At 45.1% G+C, this 22,781-nt stretch overlaps 1 protein-coding gene and 1 long non-coding RNA gene across 11 annotated transcripts in view, besides 3 other annotated features; one reads left to right on the top strand and one right to left on the bottom strand.

Moving 5' to 3' along the window:
• Positions 1 to 17,809, top strand: part of ZKSCAN7-AS1 (ZKSCAN7 ZNF cluster antisense RNA 1) — a 128,297-nt gene extending 110,488 nt beyond the window's left edge. The window contains exon 3 of the long non-coding RNA NR_157564.1: positions 17,574 to 17,809. This is a non-coding gene — a long non-coding RNA (ZKSCAN7 ZNF cluster antisense RNA 1). The remainder of the gene's footprint in view (positions 1 to 17,573) is intronic.
• Positions 1 to 19,973, bottom strand: part of ZKSCAN7 (zinc finger with KRAB and SCAN domains 7) — a 28,291-nt gene extending 8,318 nt beyond the window's left edge. For 2 of the 10 annotated variants that reach the window (NM_025169.3, XM_047448582.1), the window contains exons 1-5: positions 19,648 to 19,973; positions 17,696 to 18,236; positions 9,511 to 9,679; positions 7,163 to 7,254; positions 6,733 to 6,859 (exon numbers count right to left, since the gene is read on the bottom strand). In NM_025169.3, the coding sequence (NP_079445.1) occupies positions 6,733 to 6,859; positions 7,163 to 7,254; positions 9,511 to 9,679; positions 17,696 to 18,118 (811 nt within the window). In that variant the 5' untranslated portion in view covers positions 18,119 to 18,236; positions 19,648 to 19,973. Of the gene's footprint in view, positions 1 to 3,007; positions 5,245 to 6,732; positions 6,860 to 7,162; positions 7,255 to 9,510; positions 9,680 to 17,695; positions 18,237 to 19,647 lie in introns of those variants that run through there. The other 8 variants (NM_001288591.2, XM_047448581.1, NM_018651.4 and 5 more) reach the window with 7 other exon arrangements.
• Positions 17,906 to 18,407: an enhancer, noted in NCBI's record as "H3K4me1 hESC enhancer chr3:44598251-44598752 (GRCh37/hg19 assembly coordinates)". NCBI's record gives its function as "activates a minimal SCP1, AML or CMV promoter by ChIP-STARR-seq in primed H9 embryonic stem cells {active_cell/tissue: H9 hESC(primed)}" and the evidence as "EXISTENCE:reporter gene assay evidence [ECO:0000049][PMID:30033119]".
• Positions 19,920 to 20,059: a silencer, noted in NCBI's record as "silent region_14269". NCBI's record gives its function as "represses an Ori minimal core promoter by ATAC-STARR-seq in GM12878 lymphoblastoid cells {active_cell/tissue: GM12878}" and the evidence as "EXISTENCE:reporter gene assay evidence [ECO:0000049][PMID:35858748]".
• Positions 20,170 to 20,219: a silencer, noted in NCBI's record as "silent region_14268". NCBI's record gives its function as "represses an Ori minimal core promoter by ATAC-STARR-seq in GM12878 lymphoblastoid cells {active_cell/tissue: GM12878}" and the evidence as "EXISTENCE:reporter gene assay evidence [ECO:0000049][PMID:35858748]".

Genomic DNA, 22,781 nt, shown 5'->3' with positions numbered 1-22,781 from the left:
CACCAATACACCCAACTAATATATTTTTTTATTTATTTAGGGACAGGGTCTTGACGTGTTGCCCAGGCTGGTCTCAAACTCCTGACCTCAAGTGATCCTCCTGCCTTCACCTCCCAAAACGCTGGGATTACAGGTGTGAGCCACCACACCTGACTGGACCCAGAATTTGAACATAGGTTGCTGGGCACAGACATGTTTTTTGTTTGTTCATTTTGTTTTGTTTTGTTTTTCTTTTGAGATGAAGTCTTGCTCTTGTCACCCAGGCTGGGGTATAATGGTGAGATCTTGGCTCACTGCAGTCTCCACCTCCCAGGTTCAAGCAATTCTCCTGCCTCAGCCTTCCAAGTAGCTGGGATTACAGGTGCCTGCCACCACACCTGGCCAATTTTTATATTTTTAATAGAGATGGGGTTTTGCCATGTTGGCCAGGCTGGTCTTGAACTCCTGACCTCAAGTGATCCACCTGCCTCAGCCTCCCAAAGTGCTGGGATTACAGGCACATGCCACCGTGTCCACCCCAAACCTGTGTTGTTAACCACTATATTACCCTGCTTCCTCTAGAAATAATATTAGAAGGAAACTTCCTAAACGCAACAGAATATTTATCAATATCCAACAATGAACGCAAATGAAAATGTGAAATACTAAAAACATCCCTCCTGAGATTTTAGAACAAGACATAGAAGACCTGTTATCTACTACTCAACATTTTTGGAAGTTCTTGCTAATGCACAACATAAGTGGCATAAGATTGAAAATAAGGCCAGCTCACACCTGTAATCTCAGTACTTTGGTAGGCCAAGACAGGCGGACCGCTTGAGCCCAGGAGTTCAAGACCAGCCTGGGCAACATGGTGAAAACCCATCTCTACAAAAAATATCAAAAAATTAGCTGGGCATGGTGGCATGCACCTGTAGTCCAAGCTACTTGGGAGGCTGAAGTGGGAGAATCACCTGAGCCTGGAAAGTTGAGGCTGCAGTAAGCCATGATCACATCACTGTACTCCAGCCTGGGTAAGAAAGTGAGACCCTGTCTCCAAGAAAAAAAAGAAAATTTAAAGCTAAAGGAGCCATTAATTTATTATATACCTAGAAAATGAAACTAAAAAACCATTAAAACTAAAAATAATTCAGCAACATAACAGTCCAGATTTAAATTTTTTTTAAGTTTATGCTAGCAGTAACCAATAGAATTTGAGGTATGGCTTTCAAATGCAGCCAATTTTCCTCCATTCAAAAGCCTCAGGCTTTTAAGGATGTCAAGGCACACACTGGTGTAGAATTCCCTACATCTACTCTTTTTTTCCCTACTATTCCCACCTTAGTTATGAATAGTGCAGGTTTCCAACCTCTAGAGGGTTAGTGTGGTAGGCGATGAGCAGACAAGAACCAGAAGGTAAAACTGCAACATCCAATAAGCAGGAACGTTCTATTGAAGACTTAACCAGAAATGTCCAGCTCAGGGTAGAGGGCTGGACCCATGTGCTCATATAGGGTTGGGCTTGTCCCTGGGATCTGGGAGCTTCCAAACTAAAACAATGAAAAAGTCCTATCTGCATATCTTCTAAAGGAAAATGGAAACACATACTAAATATAAAGTTGAAAACAAATTTAAAATATATATTCATAAGTGGCAAATTTTCAGTTCTGTCCTGGGTTCAGTGTTTTCAGGATTCCTATTATTCTTTCTAAACTTGCCTGAGATATGTCCCTAGAATCACATCTAATCTTATTTTCCTATGCCTCAACTCCACCCTTTCTTCTATGTTAAAACATACACCACACCTCAAAAAAATCTCCCCTCCAGATTATATAACTCGCATGGCTCCTCTAGCCTCCTCCTCTACTCTGTCACACTGTGGATCCTCTAAACCTATTAAGTTTAAGGGATGGAAAGAGAAGGAGGTAGACAACAGAGGCAAACGTCCCCCAGATCTGGGCCATATTGCAAGGGTGGAAGGGAAAAGTTGTTCAAGCTCATGGACTGACATGTGATGGCAGAAGGACAGAAAATCTTCTGAGATTTCTTTTCTTATGTCTTCGGGGAATGAAAAGATGGTCCAGAAGACAATTATGATAATTAAGGGTACAGCTCTCATCTTTAAATTAAGATGGCAGTTGTAGGTAGATAGGACTAGTCGATAAGGAAAACAGATTCCTGTGAATCTATTATCTTGCCACAAGCCTCGTCATAGTGAATTCCAAGCATCAGGGAATGCTGCTAGCTGGATTTTCAATAATCTGTACCACTGCTATGAAAGTCAAGTCTTCGGTGCAGTAAATTTTGACACAGTTCTTTTTTTTTTTTTTTTTTTTTGAGACAGAGTCTCGCTCTGTTGCCCAGGCTGGAGTGGAGTGGTGCGATCTTGGCTCACTGCAAGCTCTGCCTCCCAGGATCATGCCATTCTCCTGCCTCAGCCTCCCGAATAGCTGGGACTACAGGCGCCCCCCACCACGCCTGGCTAATTTTTTGTATTTTTTAGTAAAGACAGAGTTTCACCGTGTTAGCCAGGATGGTCTCCACCTCCTGACCTCGTGATCCGCCTGCCTCAGCCTCCCAAAGTCCTGGGATTACAGGCGTGAGCCACTGCGCCCAGCTGACACAGTTCTTAATCTGTTGATTTAGGAAGCAGGGTACAGTTAGCAAATTCAGAACTAGAATCAGCATGTAGGGGAAAGTCCGTACCAGTGGGATATGACTGCCCAACCCAATACCTAGATACACACACATTCACACACATACACACACACACACACTCTCTCTCTTTTGCATACATACACACACACACACACACACACACACACACACACACACACACAAAATCCATTCGCATTTTGAGGCTGAAGTAACAGTAGTAAGACTTCCAGGAGTATATGTAAAAGATATCAGTAAGACCTCTGTATGTGATATTCTATGATGAGATGGACTTCCATCTTTAGAAGCAGCTGGTCCAGCTGGGGAGGGGAGAAAGATCGTGCATACTTTAAGGATAATTCAATGTGAGAGCTGAGATTTTAAAAATTATTTATTTAACAACTGGTATGTACAAAATACTATCTATATGGGAAAGAAATACATACCTGACCTCAAAGAGCCTACAATAAGTTGGTATAAAAGTATACAGACACGCAAAATTTACAAGGCAATTAACCACAGTTACATATTGTAGCACCAGTGAATTCAAAGCACTGAGGTCAAATCAAGAGAAGTTGAAGAAAAATAAAAAAGTACTTGAAGAAGAAAGTATTTCAGTGATGAGATGGATTTCAAAAATTGTGAGGGACAAAGATTAGCAAACAGAAGAAAATGTTTTCTAGATAGGGAACAAAACTGATGAAAAGTTATAGATTAAAGTTTAAAGAGTAGATGGGGAGGGCCATAGCCAAGAGGCAGGAAGGCATGAATCAGCCTTTTTGAATGACTTTGTATAAATGGTGAAATGGAGGAAGTAGAATAGAATAGAGAAGATATTATCTCTGTCTTTAAAAAGCATGGAGTCTGATTATGAGATGCATAACTAAGAAATGAAATAGATTTTAAAAGTTAAAATTTAAAAGTAAAGAAAAAAAAAGGAAACCTACAATTCAATGACATGTGTAGTCCTTACCTTCCTAATAATGGGTAAGAACTGGAATAAGTTACTCCTACTCTCCCACCTTAGTGATCCAAGGAAAAGCAAGTAGGGAATGGTCCACCGTGACTACTGGCTCCGGGAAACCACTATGAGCATCCTGCTTATAAAGACAGCTTAACTCAAAGGTCGTTGCTCTCTGTCTCAGAGAACCATACCTTAAGAAACTGACCAAGCCAGACCTGAGGACTTCTCTCCAGTGTGAGTTCGCTGGTGGTGATTAAAAGTGGAACGCTGACTAAAGGCTTTCCCACATTCACTACATTCATAAGGTTTCTCTCCGGTGTGGACTCTCTGGTGTACAATAAGCTGTGAGCTGTCACTAAAAGCTTTCCCACAATCATTGCATTTATAGGGTTTTTCCCCAGTATGGGTTCTCTGATGTACCATAAGGCTGGAGCTATAACTGAATACCTTCCCACACTCATTACATTCATAGGGTTTCTCACCAGTGTGAATTCTCTGGTGTATAATAAGGTGTGAGTTTTGATTGAAGGATTTTCCACACTCATTGCATTTATAGGGCTTTTCACCCGTGTGAAGTCTCTGGTGCCGAATAAGACATTTACTCAGACCAAATGCCTTACCACACTCGCTACATTCAAAAGGTTTTTCTCCAGTATGAATTCGCTCATGCTCAATGAGTTGAGAGTTCTGATTGAAGGCTTTCCCACATTCACTACATTTGTATGGCTTTTCCCCAGTATGGAGGCTCTGATGTCGAATAAGACATTTACTCCGACTGAAGGCTTTGCCACATTCACTACACTCATAAGGCTTCTCCCCAGTGTGGATTCTCTGATGGTCAATGAGATTTCTATTGGAACAGAATGCTCTCCCACACTCATTGCATTTGTAAGGTTTCTTACCAGTGTGCAGGACCTGATGTCGAGCAAGACTTTTGCTTCGAATGAATGCCTCTCCACACTCATTGCATTCATAAGGTTTCTCCCCAGTATGGGTTCTCTGGTGGTCAGTGAGTCGGGAACTCTGAGTAAAGGCTTTTGCACATTCATTACATTTATAGGGTTTCTCCCCATTATGGAGTCTCTGGTGTTGAATGAGATGGGAGCTGTGCCTATAGGCCTTTCCACACTCACTGCATTCATAGGGTTTTTCCCCTGTGTGGGTTCTGAGATGAACAATGAGCTGGGAGGTTTGCCTGAAGGTCTTCCCACACTCATTACACTCATAGGGTTTCTCTCCAGTGTGGATTCTCTGATGGCCAATAAGGTGAGAACTCCGATTGAAAGCTTTGCCACATTCATCACATCGATAGGATTTCTGTCCCTTTAAAACTCCTTCATGTTCAACAGGACTGGAAGACAGAGGTGGATGTTCCCCAACTTCCTTATATTTGTCATATCTGTCTTTTGTGGATTTTTTCTTATCTTCATCTGTTATTTCCAAGAAATCATTTTCTAGTCTGCTCCCTTCTTCATCTGAGGTTTGTCCTTCTAACTCCTTGAAAGTATCTTCACAAACATCTCCAGTCTCTGCTGCCCCAGGAACCACCCCAAAGAGTCCCCCTGATGTCCTGTTAGATGACTCTGATCCTTTAAAAAATTCCTGCTTTGGAGTCAACTCTGAACCCTTCATCATGTTCTCACCTGCTGCCCAAAGAAAGAAGACAACAACTTTTACCCATTTCTTATCCTGTTTAAGAAAGAGAATCATTAAGAGCTAACATACCTGAAAAAAAGTCACATTATGGTTAAGAAATGAGATGACACATTGAGAACAAGAGCAAAATGGGAAATATTAATAGCTCAATTTTTTTTCCCTAGGGACAGGAAAACAAGGAAGGGGAAGGTGGTCAGTGAAAACAGGTGGAAAAAAGATACTAAGCCAGCACAACCAAGTCAGAAGGGCCACTGGAAAGCAAAAAAGTGGATTGCAAAGCATGCTGTGATCTTACAGAAGTTACTCTCGTGCTATGTCTCCTTAGTAAAGTGATGAACTCTAAGATCCCTTCCAACCATAACATTGCATGGTTCCATTGTTCTCAGAAAACATGTTGGGAGAGAGGAGGCTGGCAAATACCTCAAGCCAAACATAAGAAAGAGACAGGGAAAAAAATGAGAGTGAATTGACTGGAAATTTATATTATGGAGGTATGATAAGGAAAGTGTACAAAAAGAACAGATCTTACATGATAGGACAGTAAAAAGACTGCCCTAAACTCGTCAACCACAGGATCTGCCCTTCCAAGAAGCCCTTTCAGGAAACTGTTCTGCCCCAGTGTTTGCAGAGAGGGATGCTTAGGCAACCATGCTTGGTGCCAAGTGACCCTGAGCATCCCACGATGGGCCACAGGTGATTGGACTGGCACCAGGTACTAGACTGAAGGGTCTATTTGTAGGTTAGGCTTCAGCCTCTGCTGTGGCCTGGGCCAAACCCCTGTGCCCAAATGAGATGATGCGTAATGGCTATAGCAATGAAAGTCCATCTCTGAGGAAATTTGGAACTGGAGGTAGGGCAAAATTAAGGCACTTACGAGTAGCAATGGAAGCTGAAGTGGCGCATGGAGAGAAGCCAAGCCATTAGGAAACACAGCAAGCAACAAGTGTAAAAGAACAGAAAGTAAAATTAAAAGAGCTATGAAAAGGACAAAAGATTCACAGTGAAGAAAATGGGCAAGAGGAGGAGGACAAGCAGAGAGAAAACAGATACACTGCGAGCAGCTGCATTACATTCACACTGGAACACAGGCATCAACATGCATTTGCTTTTGCAGCTCAGGCTCCCAGGGTCAAGGCCCTGCTTCCCACAGTCTGGTCTAGCTCATCAGTTTCTTCCAGGTTCTCATTCCTTTAAGCCTATGACTCACAGCTCCTTACTTACAATAACTTGAGTGGCTCTCTGTTCCTTACAACTAAGAAGCCCTACCTAAACCACACTATATCAATTCATAATGAGGTGAAGAGTATGCTGATCACTGTTGAATCTCAGTGATGAATGCAGAAAGGGTCCCTATATTATTCACTCTAGTTTAACTATGTTTGGAAATTTTCATGGTAAAAAGTTTAAAGAGACAAGGAATATAGAAAAGAGATTGTGCAGCATGCAGACTTTAAGTGACTAGGAAACAGAATCATTACCCAAGGAGGCCATGCTATGGTGATTTTCTGGCATCATGTTCCACTGCAGGGCTCTCTGACTGAGTGTGAGACTTTTCCATTTCTTCTGAGTGTAGTCTACAGATAGGTCCTCATATGCCACAGTATCCTGGAATGACAAGCTCCAATCGCTCAGGAACATTCACAGCCTGAAGGGCAGAGTCATCAGGGGTACGAAGGGCACAGGGTATGGGCTCTTCATGGGCAAAAGTATGGGAGAGAGGAGCTGAGATGACACCTCGAAAAGGACAAGTCCAGGGCAAGATAGAGTCCATTACCTCCAGGGGAAGTAATGAGGCAGGAGAGCCACAGGAATAGTCTTAGATGGGGCAGAGTCCTGGGGGTGAGACCTCTAGCCATTCTTGGACCAGACTCATGGGGACTTGGTAAAAACACAAAGAACCAAGCTCACCTGGGGCCTGACCATCCGAAGTACAGTTGCCCCTGCTTGGTCTCCTGAGTTCCCCACTTGAGGAAGGGTAGGAACTGGAGAAGTACATTGAGCTGAGGGAGGAAAGAAAGCTATGAGTGGGACAAGCCCTGCTTCTGGCTCCCATAAGATCTATATTCCCAATAAGTGGATTCAAGAGAACCCAGGCACCTCCACACACACTGACTCTTAACCTCTTCCATAAGGCATTATCCCAAGAGTGGTGTGAATTTTCCCTGGAGGGTACAGTACAAGGTCCCGGATCAAGCTGAGAACTGGGTGTTCCTCCAAGCCCTCACTCTCTTCAACTTTTTTCAGGGAAGCTATTCTGGCCACTCTCTCTCCCATGGTTTCCCTAGCACCAGCCAGCCCTGATTTTCCCCTCACAGTTGTGGTTCCTCATGCCTGCTCCTGCCCTCTCATTATGGACACTCCTTGCAACTCAGGCCCTAGTGCTTCCTTGTTCTTTCCGTCAGCAATCTGACCAACTCTCATTGCTTTAATACTGCTCTCACAGTTCTTACTTCTCTCCTAGACCCCTACCACATGCCTCCTATTGCCTATGGGACATTTCACTTGGGTGTCCTGCAACACTTTAAGTTCAGTGTCTAGAATGGATGGATGTTCTAGGCTAAGGTGGGAGGCTGGCTTGAGGCTAGGAATTCAAGACCAGCATGTACAACATAAGGTTGTCTTTTTCTCCCTTTCCTTCCTTCCCTTCCTTCACTCTTCCCTTCCCTTCCCCTCCTCTTTTCCTTTCCTTTCTTTTCTTTTGCTCCCTCCCTCCCTCTCTTTCTTTTCTCTCTTTTCTTTTCTCTTCTCTTTTTCTTTCTTTCTTTCCTTTCTTTCTCTTTCTCTCTCTCTCTCTCTTTTTGTTTTGAGACAGAGTCTCACTCTGCTGCAGTGCAGTGGCATGATCATGCCTCACTGAAACCTCTGCCTCCCAGGCTCAAGCAATTCTCATGCCTCAGCCTCTGGAGTAGCTGGGATTACAAGTACCTGCCACTATGCCTGGCTAATTTTTGTATTTTAGTAGGAAGGGATTCATCATGTTGGCCAGGCTGGTCTCAAACTCCTGACCTCAAGTGATCCACCTGCCTTAGCCTCCCAAAGTGCTGGGATTACAGGTGTGTGTGCCACTGCTCCCAGTAGGAGACCCCATTTCTATAAAAAGTTAAAAAAAAAAAAAGAGCTGGTCATGGTGGCATGCCTGTAGTTCTAAGAGGCCATGGTGGGAGGATTTCTTGAGCCCAGGAGTTCAAGGCTACAGTGAGCTATTATGATCGTGCCATTGCACTCCAGCCTGGGTGACAGAGTGAGACCCTATCTCTCTTTAAAAAAAATAAATAAATAACATTAAATAAATAAATAAAATGTTCTTATCACCTTTCTTTCAGATTTCTCAATTTCCCTCAATGATTCCATCATTGGCCAAAACATTCTAATTCCCCTGCCTCCCCTTTCAAACTCAAGTCCCACGGATGTTTCCATGATAATATTTTTCAATTTTATCCTTGCCCGTTCCTCTCTTTGCACTTCAGGCATTAATCACATCTATTCTACCGCACCAGCCTTTAACTAAGGCGCCTTCCCCTTCAATCCATAATGCTCACCTGTGCCAGAGTAATCCTCCTGAAATACTATTTCTAACACATTATCCTCTGACTCCCAAAATCTTCCTGCCTCAATCTCAAGGTCCTGTACAAACAAGGCCCAGGTTCCCAAATACAGTCTTTCCTGACTCCACCTCAATCAGGGCTCAAGGAATCTCCAGCTTAGGGTCTTTGTTGTGTCTTCTAATGGCATGCCTGCTACTTTTTTCTCCCCTTCAAAATTCTTCCACATTTTTACTGCCCAATACTCTGCTACCTCCTTCATGAAGCATCCCTTACCAGTTCCAGCCCACAATGATCTTGCTTTTTACCCAGTGATCACTTTTTCCAATGCCCACATTGCTCATTTGTGACAGGATCAAATGCTTGAGGATAGATATCATTCATGTGCATCTTATGAGGTTGCCTCTTCTTACACATGACTAACTCATCCTACCATCTAGATAACAAGCTCTTTGAAATCAGTGACAATAGATGTACTACATCTCTCTGGTCTCTGGCAGTGCCTTTCCTACGACATGCCCTTGATGAAAACTTACTAACTACACGAATGATTAGAGAATAAGCAAAAGGAACAAACAGGGTCACTAGGGAAGAAGGACAGACAGCAGAGCAATGAGGGATTCCATGGAGTAGGAGATGGGCAGATAAAGGAAAGGAGACTCCAGAGGAGAGAAGGGAGGCATGACTTAAGGCCAAAGCTGGGGAGATAAGTACCGAAGTCCCCACTGGGGAGGTGGTGTGTCCCTGGGTCATAAGGAGGCTCCAGGTGGGCTCCAGGGGCTGAGCCCCCACTGAGGGGTGAGGTAGGAGGAGATTCCTTTGTTGTACCCAGAGCTGTTGTCTCCTCAAAATGCATTTCCTGTTTCTGTGCTGGGGCTGAAACCTAGAGAGAGGGAAATACAATTGGGTTCAAAAGAGCATCCTTGAAGGTACTGAACCCAAAACCTCTAAGCAGCTCCCTCCAGAAAGAAAGCCAGGGAAAAGAAGAGCCAGGGTGTCCTTCCAGCCCCACCACTACAGTCTACTGGGGGAAAAAAAAAACTGTGAAAGCAGAATCTAAAGCTTGCAATTCTACTTGCCATCCCTCTGTTGACCCTTTTGGTAGGGGCTTGAGGACCAGATTCTATAACCATTTCCACTCTGTGTCAGGTCTTCAGACACATATTTTCTTATGAAGAACCATTTAAAAAGGGAGCCAGGAGAGCAATTCAGTACATTCTCTAGGGCCTTAGCTGACAGAAAGGAATAATCAGAAGTACAAAGGATAGGCCAGGCGCAGTGGCTCACATCTGTAATCCCAGCACTTTTGGAGGCCGAGGTGGTTGGATCACCTGAGGTCAGGAGTTCGAGACCAGCCTAGCCAACATGGCGAAATCCTGTCTCTACTAAAAGTACAAAAAAATTAGCCAGGCATGGTGGCACGCAGCTGTAGTCCCAGCTACTTGGGAGGCTGAGGCAGGAGAATCACTTGATCCTGGGAGGTGGAGTTTGCAGGGAGCCGAGATCACGCCTCTGCACTCTAGCCTGGGTGACAGAGCGAGACTCCGTCTCAAAAAAAAACAAAAACAAAAACCAAACAAACAAAAAAAGAAGTACAAAGGAGGTAAAAAAAGATAAGTGTAAAAAAAGATAAGATTTGTGGATGTGCACAAATAATGCTACTGACACTAACAGCTGAAGCAATACCCAGAACAGTGGCTGGCATACCAGGAGAGCTTTTCCAATTTCTCTGAGCAAAAGTATCTCCTCTTCAGAGAAGCTTTCTCTGAGCACACTGACAAAGCAGGGATAGTCAGACTCAATTAACCAATTATAATTTCTAGATTGCATGTATTAATCTTTAAGTAATCTTACTTATGTCTTTATTGTCTATGTTTCCCCAACAGAGTGTGAGTTTTTTGAGGGTAAGAACTTTTGTCTTGATCACTAGCTCCAAAACAACATATAGCCCTACAATGGTGTTCAATTAATATCTGCTGACTGACTTCCTGTTGATATTTTGCTAAAAGACTTTAAGGTTATCTGCAAACTCAGTTTTCAATATGTACTACTTCTCCCCAATAATTTATATTTTAAAAGCCAAATAAGATCAGACACACTAATCTGTAGAGATCTTGAGAATACCTCAGAACATAGACATTTTATTTCTAACCCTTGCTTATTGTCATCAAACCAGCTCCTCACAATCTCATGGTTGCTCCTTTTACCAGCATGTAGGGCAGAAAACCTAAAATATTATCTAAATAAGGCACATTTTAAAGTTCACTTGCTCTGGTATGTACATAGCACAGCATGAGGTAAAAATAACTTCTCCTTCAATAAACCACACAGGATTCACCCTATTAGGCTGCATCTGCTGAGATGTTAAGGGACTCTCTCCTTTAATATATATCTCACCAGTGTAGTGGTAGGACCAGCAGGCTCCCTGGATTCTGTAGTTCCCAAGCTCTCCTACTGAAAGGTTCTTTGAAACTGAAAGACTCTCTAAAATGGAAGTCACAGCTCTTCAATACAGGAGCTCTGGGTATTGGCAGAAGGTAGAACTTACTGCACTGTGATAATTCAACTTTGTAATCCACTAATAATTTAATCCTGGTAAAGTTCCTGTTCATTATCTAGGACTTTGATATGGTTTGGATTTCTGTCCCCGCCCAAATCTCATGTTGAATTGGAGGAGGGGCCCAGTGGGAAGTGACTGGATCACGGGGGGTGGGGGTAGGGGGGGAAGATTTCCCCCTTGCTGTTCTTGTAATAGTGAGTTCTCATGAAATCTGATTGTTTAAAAGTGTGTGGCACTTTCCTCTGTGTGCTCTCTCTTTCCTGCCACAATGTGAAGAGGATCCTTGCTTCCTCTTCAACTTCCACTATGATTTTAAGTTTCCTGAGGCCTCCCAGTCATGCTTTCTGTTAAGCCTGCAGAACTGTGAGTCGACTGAACCTCTTTTCTTCATAAATTACCTAATCTCAGGTAGTTCTTTACAGCAGTGTGAAAAAGGACTAACATAGAAAATTGGTACCAGGAAAGTGGGGCACTGCTATAAAGATACTTGAAAATGTGGAAGCAACTTTGGAACTGGGTAACAGGTAGAGGCTGAAACAGTTTGGAGGGCTGAAAAGAAGACAGGAAGATGTGGGAAAGTTTGGAACTTCCTAGACACTTGTTGAATGGTTTTGACTAAAATGCTGATAGTGATATGGATAATGAAATCCAGGCTGAGGTGGTCTCAGATGGAGATGAAAAACATATTGGGAACTGGAGCAAAGGTCATTCTTGCTATGCTTTAGCAAAGAGACCAGCAGCATTTTGCCCCTGCTCTAGATATCTGTGGAACTTTGAACTTGAGAGAAATGATTCAGGGTATCTAGTAGAAGAAATTTCCTTTTTTTTTTTTTGTTTTTTGAGATGGAGTCTCATTCTGTCACCCAGGCTGGAGTGCAGTGGCGCGATCTTGGCTCACTGCAAGCTCCGCCTCCCAGGTTCATGCCATTCTCCTGCCTCAGCCTCCCGAGTAGCTGGGACTACAGGCACCCGCCGCCATGCCCAGCTAATTTTTTGTATTTTTAGTAGAGATGGGGTTTCACCGTGGTCTCGATCTCCTGACCTCGTGATCCACCTGCCTCAGCCTCCCAAAGTGCTGGGATTACAGGCGTGAGCCACCACGCCCAGCCCTCTAGCAGAAGAAATTTCTAAGCAGCAAAGCATTCAAGAAGTGACCTGGCTGTTTCTAAAAGTGTCCACTCATATTTGTGAACAAAGAGATCTGAAACTGGAACTTATATTTAAAAGGGAAGCAGAGCATAAAAATTTGGAAAATTTGTAGCCCGGCCATGTGGTAGAAAAGAAAAACCCGTTTTCTGGGGAGAAATTCAAGCCTGCTGCAGAAATTTGAATAAGTAAAGAGGAGCCAAATTTTAATAGCCAACACAATGGGGAAAACGTCTCCAGGGCATTTTAGAGACATTCACAGCAGCCCCCTCTCATCACAGGCCTGGAGGCCTAGGAGAAAACAATGGTTTCATGGGCTAGGCCCAGGGCCTAGCTGCTCTGTGCAGCCTCAGGACATGGTCCCCTGTGTCCCAGCCACTCCAGCTCCAGCTGTGGCTAAAAGAGGCCAAGGTATAGCTCAGGCTGTGTCCTCAGAGGGTGCAAGCCCCAAGCTGGCAGCTTTCACATGTTGTTGGGCCTGCAGGTGTGCAGAAGGCAAGAGTTGAGGTTTGGGAATCTCCTCCTAGATTTCAGAGGAGGTATGGAAACACCTGGATGTCCAGGCAGAAGTCTGCTGCAGGGGCAAAACTGTCATGGAAAAACCTCTACTAAGGCAGTGTGAAGGGGAAATGCAAGGTTGGAGCCCCCACACAGTCTTGCTGAGGCATTCCCTAGTGGAGCTGTGAGAAGAGGGCCACCATCCTCCAGACCCCAGAATGGTAAATCCACAAGCAGCTTGCACCATGTGCCTGGAAAAGGCACAGGCACTCAATGTCAGTTGGTGACTGCAGCCATGGGGGCTATAACCTGCAGAGCCACAGGGGCCAGGATGCCCAAGGCCTTGGGAACTGATCTCTTGCATCAGCATGCCCTGGATGTGAGACATGGAGTCAAAGGAGATTATTTTGGAGCTTTATGACTTAATGACTGCCCTGCTTGGTTTTGGACTTGCATGGGACATGTAACCCCTTTGTTTTGGCCAATTTCTCCCATTTGGAATGGGAGCATTTACCCAATGCCTATATCCCCATTGTATCTTGGAAGTAACTAACTAGTTTTTTATTTTACAGGCTCATAGGTGGAAGGGACTTACCCTGTCTCAGATGAGACTTTGGACTGTGAACTTTTGAGTTAATGCTGAAATGAGTTAAGTCTGGGGGACTGTTGAGAAGGGATAATTGTATTTTGCAATGTGAAAAGAACATGAGATTTGGGAGGGGCCAGGGCAGAATAATAGTGGTTTAGATTTGTGTTCCCACCCAAATCTCACAACGAATTGGAGGAGGGGCCTGGTGGGAGATGACTGGATCATGGGGTAGATCTCCCCTTGGTGTTCTTGTGGGTTCTCATGAGATCTGATCATTTAAAAGTATGTGTCACTTCCCCCTGCATTCTCTTCTGCCACAATGTGAAGAAGGTCCTTCCTTCCTCTTTGCCTTCTGCCATGATTGTAGGTTTCCTGAGACCTCCCAGTCATGCTTCCTGTTAAGCCTGTGAAACTGTGGGCCAATTAAACCTCTTTTCTTTTTAATTACCCAGGTAGTTCTTTATAGCAGTGTGAAAACAGACTAATACAGAATCACAGGTTTCCCTTCCTTGAAGACATGAAAACCTCATTCTAATATGGCATTCCACAGCAAGACCCTAGAGAAAAGCTGTTGGCTTAGAAACTAGGGAGATGGAAAATCCTGGTCCTCCCACTTGATGGTAATCAGAAACAACCACACCTCAGCTAAATCTTTCGGGCAAGGGAATGCTTACTACATGTGCTCACTTCACTTGTCAAATGGAGATAATGATTACTGCACTGCCTGTTTTGTAACCCTGGCAGGAGATGAAAAAAGATACAGGAAACAGGCCAGGCGTGGTGGCTCATGCCTGTAATCCCAGCACTTTGGGAGAACGAGGCGGGAGGATCATGAGGTCAGGAGATCGAAACCATTCTGGCTAACATGGTGAAACCCTGTCTCTACTAAAAATACAAAAAATTAGCTGGGCGTGGTGGCAGGCACCTGTAGTCCCAGCTACTCAGGAGGCTGAGGCAGGAGAATGGCGTGAAGGAGGCGGAGCTTGCAGTGAGCTGAGATTGTGTCACTGCACTCCAGCCTGGGCAACAGAGTGAGACTTTGTCTCAAAAAAAAAAAAAAAAAAAAAAAAGATACAGGAAACAAAAGAATTCTGCAAGTTGCATGACTCTGCAGCCCAGCAGGGATCACTATACAAACCTTTCCCAGCCACAATGTGCACACATGTACATGCTCCTTCTGCAGCAATAAAGTGGCTTGCTCCTGATAAGCAAAATGACTCCAATTTACCTGGACCCTCCTTAATCTCCTCTTGGCAAACTTCCATGGAAAAGCTTGTTTATTCATTTAGCCATTCTGTAAACATTTTCTGAACGCCTGCTGATGAAAGATAGTCCTGCCCTTATGTCTTCGTGTCAGAAAACATAACACTGACAGTAGTGGGAGATTAAGAAATGGACTCCAAAGACCCTACACCCAAGCTGGAGCCATGAGCATTCAGCTGCCTCACTGTCTACTGTTAGTCATTTTCTTGGGTTGTGACTCAACAGTCACCCTTTTCTGAGGCTGCTAGCTGGATAAAGCACTAAAAGTTTTAATGGAGGAAGCATTAACTTCTTAAGCAAAACCAAGCAGGAAATAGGGACATTTTCCTTCTGCCACCCTCACTAAATGGTTCTCTAAATATGTCTTCAGCCACCTGTCATTGCCATGGCTGGCCCAGCTGCTCTCTAGACCCTTGTGATGGTTGATTTACTCATATGTGCTTACTTGTTTACACAAAGAAAATGATGGTTGATAATGACAAATGTGTACTGCTAATAATCCTGGAAAAATGTCTAGCCCCAGGATCCTGATCAACTAGAACTGATTCCCTAGTGATATGTAATCATTTTTTAAAAAGCATTGAATAGGCTGAGCGTGATGGCTCACACCTGTAATTCCAGCACTTTGGGAGGATGAGGCAGGTGGCTTTCTTGAGCTCAGGAGTTCAAGACCACCCTGGACAACATGGTGAAACCCCGTCTCTACTAAAAACACAAAAATTAGCCAGGTGTGGTGGCTCACACCTATGGTCCCAGCTACTAGGGAAGCTGAGGTGGGAGGATCACTTGAGCCCAGGAGGCAGAGGTTGCAGTGAACCAAGATTGTGCCACCACACTCCAGCCTGGGTGATAGGGTGAGACTCTCTAGGAAAAAAAGCATTGAATAAAATGATATATTGGGTACTTGGGAAATTCTCTATACTGTTTTCCCCTGATAAAGTACAAAGGGGTAGAGGGGACCTCTAGTTCACCCTGCTTCTATTATAGGGGAACAATTTGAAACTCATTAGGAAGAACTAACTTATCCATGGTGTGATGATCTTTTGATGTGTCAACTTGGTACTAATCAAACATCAATCCAGGTGTTGCTGTAAACTATTTTAAAAATGTGATTAAAGTACATAATAAGTTTAAGTAAGGGAGATTATACTAGATAACGGATGAATGCATGAGCCTGATTCAATCAGTTGTAAGCCCTTAAAAGCAAAGCTAAAAGTTCCATGAAGAAGAAATTCCAGGCCAGGCGTGGTAGCTCATGCCTGTAATCGCAGTGCTTTGGGAGGCCAAGGCAAGAATATCATCTGAAGCCAGGAATTCAAGAACAAGCCTGGGCAACATAACAAGACCACATGTCTACAATAAAAAAAATTAGCCTGGTGTGGTGGCACATGACTGTGGTACCAGCTACTCAGGAGGCTAAGGTGGGAGGATCACTTGAGCCAGGAGGCTGAGCTTGCAGTGAGCCATGTTCATGCCACTGCATTCTGGCCTAGGCAACAGAGCAAGACCCAAAAAAAAAAAAAAAAAAAAATGAAGAAGAAAGGAGAAAGCAGACGAGGAAGAAAGAAGAAGAAAGAGAATAAAAGGAGGAGGAGGAGGAAAAAGAAGAAAGGACAAAGAAGAAAGAAGAAATTCCACCTGTGCACTGCAGCTTCAGCTTGTGCCACTGTTTTGGGCTGCCCTTGTCGATGGCCTGCCTATGGGTTTCAGACTTGCCTAGTCAGCCTCACAATTACGTAAGCCACTTACTAGCAATAAATCTCTCTTTCTTTTCTTTTTTTTTTTTTTTGAGATGAAGTCTCGCTCTGTCACCCAGGCTGGAGTGCAGTGGCGTGATCTTGGCTTACTGCAACCTCTGCCTCCTGGGTTCAAGTGATTCTTTTGCCTCAGCCTCCCCAGTAGCTAAGATTACAGGTATATGCCACCCTACCTAGCAAATTTTTGTATTTTTAGTAGCAATGGGGCTTTGCCATGTTGGCCAGGCTGGTCTCAAACTCCTGACCTCAAGTGATCCACCCCCTTCGGCCTCCCAAAGTGCTGGGATTACAGGCATGAGCTACCATGCCCAGCCACCAATAAATCTCTTTACACATGCACATGCATGTGTGCCCATGCCCACACACACACACACACACACACCCCTCTCTCCTACTGATTCTACCTCTCTGGCTAAACCCTGACTGAAACACATGGGCACAGAGCTAGTTGGCTCTATGGTCCTAGAAACCAGATTTTCCAATGTGTCTTACTGCTCACTCTTCCCAACTATTCCTCTAGTTTAAATTACCTTGGTATTACATTTGCAAGAACTCCAGGAAATAGGGAAAACTTAAATTAGAATTAAAGATGCAAAAAGATCCCAGTTAGGTTTGGAGAGCTAGCAAAAGGAACAAATAATTACAAGGCCCAAAAATGTCACCTTTCAGGGAATCAAAGAGGCAGAAAAAGAGAAAATTGACTCTGAGAAGTCCAAGGAAGTGAGCAAAGAGAATGTCTCAAATGAAGGCTCGTATTATCAGCATACCCAAAGGCCCGCCTTCCCCCGATCGCCCTATTCTAACCAGCATGCAGATCCCCCGCCTGCCAGGAGTACCATGCGAATCTCCAGGATGAAGCTAGGCTCAGAACACAGTATTTCACAGGGTGAATCACAGAGCTTAGCTGGGATGTGCACTTGTGTTTATGGCTTGGAGCACAAAACTATTTTCCCTCTATCCACAGGACAAGTTCAGCAACCCTAAAGGCAAACTGGCCTAGGGCCTGGGAAGTGGAGAATGCCTATTCCTAGGCTAACCCAAGCATTAGAGAAGCATCAGGCCGCCATTCTAGACTCAACTGCTCACCTCCTCTGATCCACTGAGGTGTCTCTGGAAATCCTCCACCACAGCCACAGCCTCCTCACCACTCTCAGGGTGATGCAGCTGCACCCAGGTCCGGAGCTCCCCAGGGAGGATGCTCAGGAACTGCTCAAGCACCAGCAGCTCCAGGATCTGCTCCTTGGTGTGCACCTCTGGCATGAGCCACCAGCGGCAGAGCTCCCGAAGCCGGCTCAATGCTTCCTGCGGCCCAGACATCTCGTGGTAACACAATTGCCTGAAGTGTAGCCGGAAGATTTCGCAGACAGGAGGATAGTTCTTCTGGAGACTGCTGCCCTGCCCCCAGGTCTGGTTTGCTGGCTCCTGCTTCACAGTCAGGCGCCCCTCTTGCTTCTGGAAAGCAGTGCTCCTGGGGATGAGGCCTAAATTTCCCCTGCCTGCAGTGGTCATTGTGACCCCAAAGAGAAGCTTGTTACAGCTGCAGTTGGTCCGATTAAAATGATGGTCAATAGTTCAGGTCTCAGGAACTGTTTTTCAGGGTTGGAGAAAGGGGTGATGGTAGTGTGGCCTACAGAAACAAGAGTGAAATCAGAGTTCTTGGAGTATTCAGCCCCAGGCTGATGACAATCCTCCACTGAGTTAAAAAACAAAGCTCCAGGAAAAAAGAACACAACCAGGCATTCTTAGTAAGCATCTCTCCAAATGATGCCCTTCTTAAAGTTTCAGTGGCTCCCATTACCTACAGGATAAAATCTAAATGTCTATGCCTTGCATTCACAGCCCTTCACAACCTGGCCTTACCCCCTTCACAACCAGCCACACCCTCTACCACTCACCCCAAGTACCCATGCTAGAAAGACAGCAATGGTCTCCAATGTGGGAAATGCAGGCTATCCCAAAGGGTGCAAGAGAAAATACTAAGTTATTTAACTCCTATTTAATGTATGTTTTATAATGTGCATTACAATTTGTATAGTAGTATTCATGTTTAAATTACAAATAAACCAATGTAGGGAGTAAGTGATCAAACCTCTTCTACTGATAGAAATGCAAAATAAAGAAAGTTTGGAGCTAAAGCTCTAGAGACACACTTAGAAGCCACACATACTCTTTCTTTGAATTTTTCTTCTTCAACTTTTGGCAAACTTGTCTGTCAAGACCATGAACAAAGGCAACTTTTTCTTGGTTTTCCTGATTGCCCCATCAGGAAGAGTGCTGGTAGCTTCCCTTTGTGTACCTCTCACTATAACCCTTTAACTGGTTTATGCACAACTCACCACTCTCACCCTCCAAACTGCTGCACGGCCACCAAAGGAAAGGAACCAAATGGAATCAGAAAATACTAGACCTTTTTTTACTCAATGCACCTCCCCTAGAAAGCCTTCCTGATCACGCTAGGCTTAGAGAGGTGGTTATTGTCTCAGTGATCCCAAACTACCTTTTTCATTCAAACCTCTAGTAGAGCACATCTCACACTGTAATCGTTTGTGGTTTACACGACTGTCTCCCCTGCTTTCTGGGAGGATACAAAGGGCAGAGCTGACTTCCAGTCATCTTTGTACACGTGTGCACATGGCACACATAATTGGGAAATGAATGAATATGATACATTTAGCTGACACTGAAGTGGAGGAAAACTTTGAACGTTTTAAAATCAGCACCTTACTGGTAACTAGGGCATCTGTGCTGTGCTTCCAGTTCACCAAGAGCCCAGATCCCTGTGTCTCAATCTCTTTAAAAAGACAAAGAAGGACTTTAAAATAATCTGTAAACTCTGCTCTAAGATCCCATATATGTAGAAAGTTCAGGCCATTCTCCTGCTTCCCATAGTGTTCCGAATGCTCAGCACTTTAAAATCTCAATTGGATTTTTGCATTTCCAAGTCACGCTCCACGTTTGCGATTCTGAGCCTGGGTCTGACCCAAATATGACAGTTCATACAGTTTCCTACTGCAAGAGCTGGGAAAACAGCGATCTACCTTTCGTGTTAAACCAGGCTTCAGCAGCGCCGCTCACCTGGCCACGTCTGCCCTGTTCATCGCTGTACCCGCAGATACCCGGCTCCGTGCCACGCACGAATGGTCAGGGGTATGAGACAAAGAAGCGGCTCTACATCGGGCGGCTTCTGAGAGTCACGGGGACCGCGCCGCCTGCCGCCGGGAAGAAGCGCGGTCCTGGCCAGCGTCGGCGACCCGAGCTCCGGCCGCGCCTCCCTCCGCGTCTCGGCCCACTCGCGGTGGCACTCGGCACCGAAGCCGGACACTCTACTGCCCGTTAGACCAAAAACAATGGCCGAGCCGGAAGCGAGAGAGGCCTCGACTTCCGCCCCCTCCGGGATCCCGGAAGTCTCGTTTGCGAAGGTGGGCGCGCGCGTCCCCGCACCCGGGAGAGCTGGCAGGGCTTACTTCTCGGCTGTGCCCGGCCACCTGCCGCGGGCGGGGTCGGGGTCTCGCGAGGGCCCAGGCCACTCACATCCCGCTCTCAGGCCATAGTCGGGGGATCCAGACGCGTCCCAGCTCTACACCTTCTCCTCCAGGTGTCCTTGGGAAAGATACCCAACCTCCAAGCCTGTTTTCTCATCTGAAAAAAATGCAGAGCATAATGCGTACCTCACAGGGCTGGGAGCACCGCATGAGGTTAACAGACACTACATAGCAAAAGGCCTGGCATATCCTGAGCAGTCAGTTATACCATGTGTGATGCCCAATCTGAAGTCTCAGTGAAGGGAGCAGCAAGCATCTCCCATCTTAAAAATGAAGAAGCATGTCTAGAAATTGTGATATTTTGGCCCATAAATGTGGTTAATATTTCGTAAGACAGCACCAGCATTCTGGTGTCCATGTAGAGGTTCCTAGGGAGACCAAGAAGCAGATAAACTGAGAAGGTGTGGGGACAGTTTGTAACCTAGTAGGCAGTTGTCTAGCCTCTGGGTGGCAGGTGGTACCCAGGTGACTTTCACTTTGAAGAATGGTTTGCATACAGAAGGAGGATATGAACTGGTCCTTGTTACAAACATGGTTGAGCAGGCCCTGTGTGTTAATGACCACGGGTGAAGGGCAAAGGGTGTGATGAAGTTAACTGTGTATCTTTATTATAGCACAGGAGATAGGTCCTTTACAGGGCCCAAAGTAAACAGTCTCCTGGACTGTCTAGGGATGGCAATATTTCAAAGGTGCCCTGGGCCTAACCCTGGCCCTGACATATGTTCCTCATATATCTGTGTGAGCCAAGATAGAAACAAAGACACCAGAAGTCCTGCTCCAGAGTTTCCACAAGCTTAAAAGTAATCTCTTGGAGCAATCTTTGTCCATTGATCCTAATGGTGGTTTCCTGTCATCAAGGTCCCCCTCTCCATTTGGAAATCTCACAAGGAGGTTTTGGCTATTTAAAACCAGGAACCCCAGCCTCTGCCTGACATTGATGCTAGACATTGCCTACTGGCAAATCAAGGCCTCAGAAGCTTAGGATTCTTGAGGTGGAAGGCAAATCAAGGCCCCAGAAGCTTAGGATTCTTGAGGAGGAAATCTCCCAAGGCCAGGCTAAATGCTCTCAGACCTGATTTTCAGGTCTCCTTGACCACGTGTTGTCCTGCAGTCCTGGCTTCCTATTATAGGAGACACAAGGATTTGGAAACCAAGATTGAGGTTTTTTATTCTTCAGAGCTGTTTCATGCACAAGTGGTTGGCTTTCATTGGCTGTAAGGACCAGGCCCATCTGAGCAGTGTGTTTAGACTTCAGAGGCACTTCTGTGACCAACACTGTGGGCCTGGCCCGATCTACCATGACTGGGTTGGGCCCCAGTGGGCAAGACACTTGATGATGCCTCGATATAGCACCTTAGGACACCTACCTTTGGGCCAAAGACAACCACAGAAGGCTTTTAGGAATTCTGTACTCCAACTCGATTTCTCTTGAAAATCATCACTCAAGCTTTGGTATGAGAGCTAACAAATAGGTAACTCAAATTCTACATGCCTGAAACGAAACTTACCATCTATCCGCAACCCTGAAGCTCCAACCCATATCCCCATCACTGTAAAAAGTATTATCATTCACCCAGGGACCCAAACTAGAACCCTGGGTGTCATCCCATGAGCTGAGTGACCATGGACAAGTTACTTAGCCTCTCTGTGCATAGCTTCCTTATTTGGAAAATGGGGATAATAATATACTTGAATTGTAGAGTTGTTGTGAGGATTGGATGAGATAAAATACATAAAGCACTTAGAATGGTGCCTGACACATTGTAAGTATTATAGGTGTTTTCTAGTATTGTGTTTACTATCCTTGTTTCCTCTCAGTTCATCCCCTGTATCCATTAATGTTAAGGCCTGCCACGTTTGCCCTATATGTATGTAATAATAAAAAAAGAGAATATCTATAGCAATTACTGTGCTGCTCTGCATCATCACTATCACTTCCCATGTTAAATCCTGCTTGGAGTGAGGGCAGCTGTGAGAAGTGTGTCCCCAGGAACTTACTGGATTTAAGACCACAAAGAGGCTGGGCACAGTGGCTCACACTTGTAATCCTAACACTTTGGGAGGCCAAGGCGGGTGGATCACTTGAAGCCAGGGGTTTGAGACCAGCCTGGGCAACATGGTGAAACCCTGTCTCTACAAAAAATTTAAAACTTAGCCGGGCTTGGTGGCACACACCTGTAGTCCCACCTACTCTGGAGGCTGAGGTGAGAGGATCACTTGAGCCCAGGAAGTTGAGGCTGCAGCGAGCAGTGTTTCTGCCACCACATTCCAGCCTGGGTGACAAGACCCTGTCAAAAACAAACAAAACAAAACAAAACAAAAACCCACAAAGAGAGGAGCACAGGTCTGGAGAGTCTCTGCCCCCAAACCGCTCAGATGTTCTGACATCATCTGTGTGGATAGTCCCTTTTCAACAGCCAGAACTCTCCTGTATACCCTGAAAAGAAGGTGGGGCCCTAGACACATGGGATGGGGGGACTTGCCATGATATGGGAAGAAAACCCCAGCCCACTGTGAATGGGAGTGAATGGGGCCCAAGCCCTAACTAAGAGAATGGAGAGACCCTCCTTTCACCTCGAAAACTCCTACTTATCCTTTAAAACACTGCCAAGAAACCCCTTCTCCAGGAA

Source organism: Homo sapiens, chromosome 3 (genome assembly GCF_000001405.40).
Source record: "Homo sapiens chromosome 3, GRCh38.p14 Primary Assembly".
Taxonomy (NCBI): Eukaryota; Metazoa; Chordata; class Mammalia; order Primates; family Hominidae; genus Homo; species Homo sapiens.
The sequence above is the reverse complement of the archived record's forward strand: the minus strand, read 5'-3'. Positions and strand labels throughout refer to the sequence as shown.